At 40.7% G+C, this 8,019-nt stretch overlaps 1 protein-coding gene across 5 annotated transcripts in view; it reads right to left on the bottom strand.

The window, feature by feature from the left end:
* Window positions 1-4,571: 4,571 nt before the first annotated feature.
* The window catches only part of DDIAS (DNA damage induced apoptosis suppressor), a 32,924-nt gene continuing 29,476 nt past the window's right edge, over window positions 4,572-8,019 (bottom strand). For all 5 annotated transcript variants that reach the window (XM_024448400.2, NM_145018.4, NM_001363481.2 and 2 more), the window contains one exon: window positions 4,572-7,499. In XM_024448400.2, coding sequence (XP_024304168.1) covers window positions 4,896-7,499 — 2,604 coding nt within the window. In that variant the 3' untranslated portion in view covers window positions 4,572-4,895. The remainder of the gene's footprint in view (window positions 7,500-8,019) is intronic.

Here is an 8,019-nt window from a genome sequence, read left to right as displayed (position 1 = left end):
GTAGGCATAAGCCACTGTGCCCAGCCCCTTACTATTATTGCATTACTGTTTATCTTTCCTTTAGCTCTATTAATGTTTGCTTTACATACTTGAAAGTTCTGATGTTGGGTGCATAGATATTTTTAAAGGTTATACCCTCTTGCTGAATTGACCTATTCATCATTATGTAGTGATTTTTTTTGGTCTCTTTTAACGTTCCTTGATTTGTCTTCTATTTTATCTAAGTATAGCTACTCTTGTTCTTTTTTTGGCTTTCAGTTGCATGGAATATCTTTTTCCGCCCATTCACTTTTAATCTACATATGTCTTTATAGGTGAAGTGGGTTTCCTGTAGTTAGCCCTTGTTTCTCTATCCATTCAGACACTCTATAAGAGGCACCATCATTGGGCTGAGCATGGCAGCTCAACCCTGTAATCCCGGCATGTTGGGAGGTTGAGGTGGGAGGATTACTTGAGCCCAGTAGTTCGAGAGCAGCCTGGACAACACAGGGAGACTCTGTCTTCCACAAAATATTTAAAAAATTGGCCAGGAAAGGTGGCTCATGCCTGTAATTTCAGCATTTTGGGTGGCCGAGGCAGGCAGATCACTTGAGCTCAGGAGTTCGAGACCAGCCTGGGCAACACAGCAAGACTCTGTCTCTACAAATAATAATAAAAAAAATTAGCTGGGCATGGTGGTGCACGCTTGTAGTCCCAGCTACTCAAGAGGCTGAGGTGGGAAGATTGCTTGAGCCCGGGAGGTGGAGGTTGCAGTAAGCCAGGACTGTGCCACTGCACTCCAGCCTGGATAACAGAGTGAGATCCTGCCAAAACACAAAAAACAAAACAAAAAAAGGCACTATCTTTTTAAAACAGGCAAATAAGGAGGCACAAAAGGACAATAAGGAGGGATGATAAGAAAGTACCTCTGAGGCCTGGGTGAGAGGGGATCCTGTCACAGCCCTCTACGCTTCAGGGAGACTAAGGCTTTGGAATGCCTTCCTCAAGTTTCCTTCTAAATTCTCCTCTAGCGCCTGGTAGAAGTCCACCCTGAGCCTGGACCTGGTCCCACGTGGGAGCTAGTTGCCAGAAGTGCCTCCCTCGAAATTTTCTAAGTCTCACTTTTGTGCTTGTGACAGTGCCATTTATCCCATTTGAGGTATTCTCCAACCCTCTACATCATGTTTGGTGTGTACCAAATGTCCTGAGGAGCTTGGGACTTGCGCCTATGAAATCAAACCTGGGTCATTCCCATTGGCTGAGGCAATAGTGCTTTCATAAAATAGTACAAGATTGGGCTGCCAGAATGGTGCTGACATATTTTTAGGTGACTCTCAAATTCATTTAGGTGACTCTCACAAGTTCAGGGTTGTGGCTACCAAAGGTCACCACTGGTCCTTGGGATTGAGTTCTGTGTGTAGGCCTGTGCATTGGCTCTCCCTGGTCTGTGAGGGTAGTGGCAGCTGTTATTTACCCTGTCTGCCTCCAGCCACTGACACCAGGAAGGTCACCCTTCCCCCTTCTGCAGGCCATGCCTATCTTCTCTGAGGCCTTTTAAGACTGTTGGTCCACAATGCCAGTGGGCACTTCCAATCAATGTCCTCTCATTTCCAGTTGATAGTGACACTGTGATTTCCAGATTAGGCGTTAAGCCATGCTGATGGAGGAATAGATATTCTTTGCACAAATGGAACCGCTCTTGTTGCTCCAACCACAGAGCAAGGATAGGCTCTTGCCTATCCTTCCAGGGTGCAGCCAACATTGAAAGAGATCACAGTATAGGAGTGCAGTAATTGCAGCCTAAAATGTTCAAAAGACTGCATGGTTGGGAAGCAATATTTAGTACAAATGGTAAATAGGACCAAAAAATGGATTATTATTTATTTTCCTGCACACTCTGGGTAGGACTTGCTTTTCGGTAGTCACCAGCAAAGTATAGTAACAACCTTTGAGAGATCATTGGAAACCAGTATTCACAGTAGCACAACGGATGCTGCATCACAGAGGAACTAGCATTAAACAAATGACATTAGGTAACTGCTAAGGCAAGATCTATATAGCTCAACAAAAACAGTTTCTGAAGTCATGACATTGTAAATACTAACAGCATCGTTACTCTTTTATCACAGAGGGAGGTATGAAATTAGCCAGGAATAGAACATCTGACAAAAAGAACACAGACTATTTCCTAGTCCCAAAGACTAGGAAACAGTCTAGAAAGAATTAAGAATCTTTGTATGAAATGATTGGACAATAAATATGCACCAGTTTTTTTGAGACAGGGTCGCCCAGGCTGGAATGCAGTGGCGCAATCTCAGTTCACTGCAAGCTGCACCTCTTGGGTGCACCTTAGCCTCCCAAGTAGCTGGGACTACAGGCGTGTGCCACCACACCTGGCTAATTTTTTGTAGAGATGAGGTTTTGCCATGTTGCCCAGGCTGGTCTTGAATTCCTAGACTCAAGCAAGCCTCCTGCCTCGGCCTCCCAAAGTGCTGGGATTACAGGCATAAGCTACCAGACGTGGCTTGTTTTTCTTTCCATAGGAAAAATAAAAATTCTTGAGTCTGTAGTGATAGAAGGAAAAGCAAACTAATTTACCACCACTGACTCTTTACTCTTAAAAAGGAAAAATAAAGTATATTTAACATCGAGATCCGGTGGGCAACATTTTAACCAAGCAATCTAACTTAGCATTACTAATAGTGGAACAACTTGATATTGTGTCTCCTCATGTGTTACAACATAAAGTACACAACATGAGCCATGGAATATCCCTGCCAAAACCTGAATCACATCTAGTCTTTAGGCCTAATTTTCAGGAAATGTGGGGACTGGGGTGGGGTAGAGAAACAATGTACTGATAGTATAAGGAAGCAAACATACCAGTCGAGAATGTGGGACATTCTACAGAACAGTGGTTTGAGGTTTTTTTTCCATAAAGTTACTATTATGTGAAATAAGAGGTGAGGTTCTAGAAAAAGAGACAAGCAAACACTATGGATGAACCTTGATGAAATTCTGGTTAAATAACAATTATAATTTGGGGACAAGTAGAAAAATTTGATTATGGGCTGAATATTAGATATTGGGGATTACTGTTATCTTTCCTTGGTGTGATAATGATACTGTGGCTATGTAGAGAGAAGCCTTTAAGAAAATTTGCACTGAAGAATTTAGGGGTGAAATGTCCTGTCTGCAGCTTACCTTTAAATGGTTTAGCAAAGCAAAACTGTATCTATTTAGACACACAGAAACCAAACACACACACACAAAGGCAAAATGTTTAAAATGATTGAATCTAAATGGTATGTACAGATACCGTATCATTCCGTATCATTGTGCTATTCTTTCAACTTTTTTTTTTTGAGACAGAGCCTCACTCTGTTGCCCAGGCTGGAGTGCAGTGGCAAGATCTTGACTCACTGCAACCTCCGCCTCCCAGGTTCAAGTGATTCTCGTGTCTCAGCCTCCTGAGTAGCTGGGATTACAGGCATGCATCACCATGCCTGGCTAATTTTTGTATTTTTAGTAGAGACAGGGTTTCACCGTGTTGGCCAGGCTGATCTCGAACTACTGACCTTAGGTGATTTGCCCACCTCGGCCTCCCAAAGTGTTGGGATTACAGGCATGAGCCACTGCGTCCGGCCGCTTTCAACTTTTCTGTTTGCAAATTTTCAAAATAAAAAATTGTGGAGAGGGAGAGACACAGTAGGGCAAGAAGGTGAAAATATAGGGGGAATATTTGGTATAAGACCTCAAAGATGGGTGTAATAGATCAATAGTCTAAATGGAAAGATTAGCACTTAGATGGTATTTTCTGAGACTAGAGGAAAGCAGCTGTGGGTGAGTACAGATAGACATGTGGGTAGGTATGGGTGCGAGAAGTTGAGAAAATATCAAGTGATCTCAATATTGTCCATGAAGTAGGAGGCAAGGAGAGTAGCAGTTGCTTTGTGGCATGAAGAAAGTATTGTTTTGGAATGGTTGCTGTGGGGAATGGCAAAGGAACCTGGCCAGGTATATGTGAAAGATTTCACAGGGTGCAGCAGAGCTGCTGCTAAGACTTGAGTGTCTGAAAATTGCTTTTCATTTTTGTTCCTGTTAGCACCCCAAGCTTACCTCCTATCATAGAACCTACCAGATTCTAATTACCTGATTATTCCAATAGCTCATGAGTTTGAGGGAAGGAGCTTGATTTTTATCTTCAGTTTCCAGCACTAAGCACGGCCCTTGGCATGTAGAGTAGGCATTCAGTGTATACGTATTAAATAAAATAGCAACAGTTTCACATACAACTTCTAAATAGCTTTTTTTCTTAAAACGTTTCTTCTTACCCTCAGCTCACTGATGAGTTAGCTGCTTTTCTTCCATGCTCTCATAGCAACGTAAATGTTTGTCATGCCCATTACAAACCCATATCATTGCATCTTCTGCACTGTATTGAAGTTACCTGTTTATCTGTCTTATCCAGCAGACTAACATATTTTAAGATCAGTGATCTTGTAGCTTTCTATCCCAAACTCAGCACACTCATTGGCCTATAATATAGCTGGCATTTTCTGGTCTGAGCTGAACAATTAAAAAAGACTAAGTTTTGGTTTGCAAAGTCTTTATTTCTGGATGTATATGTGATTTTAACAAACATTAATACTTTCAAAAACAATCTTAACAATATTATTAAAGTACAATAAACAGTATAAGATAAAGTGCTCAACTACCTAATCATAGTATTCTAGATAAAACCCTGGGGAAAACAATGGCTTTATATTTTAAAAGGCACAGTAGCTCCCAGCAGAGTCCTGTTTTCAATTTGCTTCTCTCCAAGTGTTCAAAATGTAAAGAATGCTTTCCGTACCCCTGAAGGCAAACATTTCCAAACAGATTTAAAAGTTCAGGAATTGGGTTCAGGTGACTTTTTATGAAAACAATTCAGGTGACCAAGCACTTCGAGTTTCACACACTGAAGGTGGGCCTTTTTCTGAAAATGGAAGGCAACATTTGACTTCTGAACAAGAATCAGGTCCAAGAATAGGGTGCAGCTGAGGTGCTGCTAAGACTTGAATGTCTGGACATTTGGAAATCCAGCCTGAACTTTTACAGTTATATTTATGAGTTTTCTTTTTCGTAACAACTGCTGCAAGCATATTCTTTAATTTCTTCTTAATTAAACCTTTATTGGTTCCTTGTCTAATATGTTTCAGTTTCTTTCTTGGTAACTCTTGTTGATCAGGGAAATGATAGGCAGCAAGGCATTTCCCTAGACCTATGCCTTGGAATCCAAGCATATCTGAAGGAAATATTTTTTGTGTGGTAGGAGGGACCCATTCATCACTATCAGTTTCATGGCACTCAGCAAAAGGGTAGTGATTGAAAACGTCTGGTTGTGAAACACCAGATACAATAGGGCTTCTGATTTTCTGGCTAGGTGTTTTTATATTTTTTGGACAGCTTGGGCTGGCTTGCTGTTTGTCATTTTCAGGGAAAATCCTTATTTTTTCATAGTTACCATCAAGATCTGAATAAAATACAGGTTTTTTGAAAGCTCTGTTTATCCCATGAATTCTTGTTTGGTGGAACCCTGAAATTGGAGTTGACTGTGAACATGGAACAAAGTCTTGACTATTTTCAAAATTATATTCTGAATCTGATTGAAAATGAGGTGTTGGAGAGCATGTTCTTGAATGCCTAGAGTCAGATAGGCTTTGCAAGGATAATTTTTGTGAAGGCTGGATGAAGTCTTCAGAAAGTGATCTCAGTGAAAAATCAGACTCTGAAGGGTGACTTTCTGCCAAAGATGTTCCCCATTTTAACAAAATATCCTGTGATTTTTTGGTAATCTCAGTTGCAATGTCCATTTCTTTAGCAATATCATCAAAGAGATCAGCAGAGGCATCATAGCTACCTTCATAACCAATAGAATAGCTCTGTGTTACGTTGTTATTGATATGTCCCCAAGGCATTTCTTTCAATGTATTTGTACTTCTATTTGGACTATTGCAAAGAGTTTCTAAAGGATATGTAAGTTTCCTGCAAATTGTAAAACTGTCATCTTGGTTCTTGGACCACCTACAATATTGTTTATTTTCTAATTTGCAAAGATCAGAGACATCATTATACTTCCTATAACACAGAGTTGTCAACTTTTCATTCATTTCTGAAACTGATATTTCTCCACATCCATTCAAATATTTGTTATTTAGACTAGAATGGTCACTCTCCCTGTGTGGTGAGATTCTGATAGTCTTCTTAAGAGTAACTATTGTTTCTAAATCTTTTGAAGATGAAGACAGAGCTGACAGGTAAGGATTCGGTAAAAAATATTCTGACATATCTCTTCCATTATGATTTACAGAGACAGCCTCTACTTTGTTATCTGGTTGTGACTCCTTTTCAACACTAGGACTTAGATTTCCTTTACAGTTGAAAAGGAAGTCATCTTTGCTACAGTTTGCTTTGACTATTACTTGTGATGATCTTAAAGCTATAGGTGGTGTATGCAGGGCTCCAGTAGTTCTCTGGGGAGTCACAGATAACCTGCTGTGGTCTGCATGAAATTTATCAATGTCATTATCTACATGATGTTTCCTACTACTGACATCTGCCTGGGTTACAGCAATCTCACTTTCAAGAACTGCCAGAAACTTGTTCAGGCTTTCAGAGAATGGCAGATCATCCCAAATTTGAGGGTCACCATCCTGGGAACTGCTGGCTGTCTCTTCAAGTCTGAGTAACGAAGGTGGACAACATGCAGATCTCTTCTGAAGGCTAGTTGGGGTATCTATACCATGATGCTGAAAACATGGTAGCTCATGCTGGGACCTATTTTTAATTTCCACTGCACTGTGGAAGGATTTTGTATTACTTGACTCAAGGGGCTCTCGCATTTCCAAAGAGAATAAATTAGAGTCATTAACTCCAATTTCATGATGACTGCTGTGAACTGCACTCAGCTCCTTAGCTTGTAAGCCAAGTTCTTTACCCAACTTTTCTGCTGTACTCTTTTTATCCATATATGAAACAAGGCTCCATGAATCCTGAATGGGATCATGGCAGCTACTGGAACCAGTGGCCTCTGCAATGGAGATGGACTTTCTGTTCTGCTGAAGAGTACCAAAGGCCTTACTTTGTTCTGAAGCTGAAAAATCATCATTATCTGTTAGTTGTGAAACAATGCAAGTGAATTCAAGTGATGGCTGCCAGAATTTTGAAAAAGTATCCTTGCTGCAGGACTTGAAAAAATCAGAAGTGCTGTCAGAAGTATATATGCTGCTGAGATCACTATTTGAGTGATCTAAAGCAAGTAAGTGATTGTTAGGTGCCTGAGAGTCACACTGAAGTTTCCTGAAATTAAAAGTCTGCAAAAGTTGATGGAAGTAGTCAATGACAGTAAAGCCTGCAATACCTGGGTCTGGTAGAACAATCTGGCAAGCCACTAGTGCTTTGGCTTTTCTTTTGTGGTCAGAGCATTGCTGTAAGAAGTTACTGGCATCTGAACCTTGTCCAGGTTGGTTTTCAAAATTCTGTGAAAGAAGCAAAGAAATTTAAGTAAGAATAAAATTGTCTTCCATTTACTTAAACATGAAACAGAAATTTAGCCAGGCACAGTGGCTCATGCCTGTAATCCCAGCACTTTGAGAGGCCGAGGCAGGCAGATCACTTGAGCCTCAAGAGTTTGAGACCAGACTGGGCAACATGGTAAAACCTCTCCTCTAAAAAAAATACCCCCACAAAAATTAGCTGGGCATGGTGGCGTGTGCCTGTAGTCTCAGCTACTCAGGAGGCTGGGGTGGGAGATCACCAGAGCCTAGGGAGGTCAAGGCTGCAGTGAGCCATGATCTTGGTACTGCAGTCCAGCCTGGGTGACAGAGTGAGATTCTGTCTCAAAAATAAAATAAAATAAACAGATTTAAAAGGTTAAAACAGATACAACTATTACCTCCATCCCCCAATTCCAATTTCGATTCTGTTAGTTTTATAGGCAAAGTAGCATATGTAAGAGAATATAAACCTTAGAGTAAAGAGCTTGTTTAAACTGATTTG

This window comes from Homo sapiens, chromosome 11 (assembly GCF_000001405.40).
Source record: "Homo sapiens chromosome 11, GRCh38.p14 Primary Assembly".
Lineage (NCBI taxonomy): Eukaryota > Metazoa > Chordata > Mammalia > Primates > Hominidae > Homo > Homo sapiens.
Note: the sequence above shows the minus strand (reverse complement) of the source record. Positions and strands in the feature narration are given on the sequence as shown.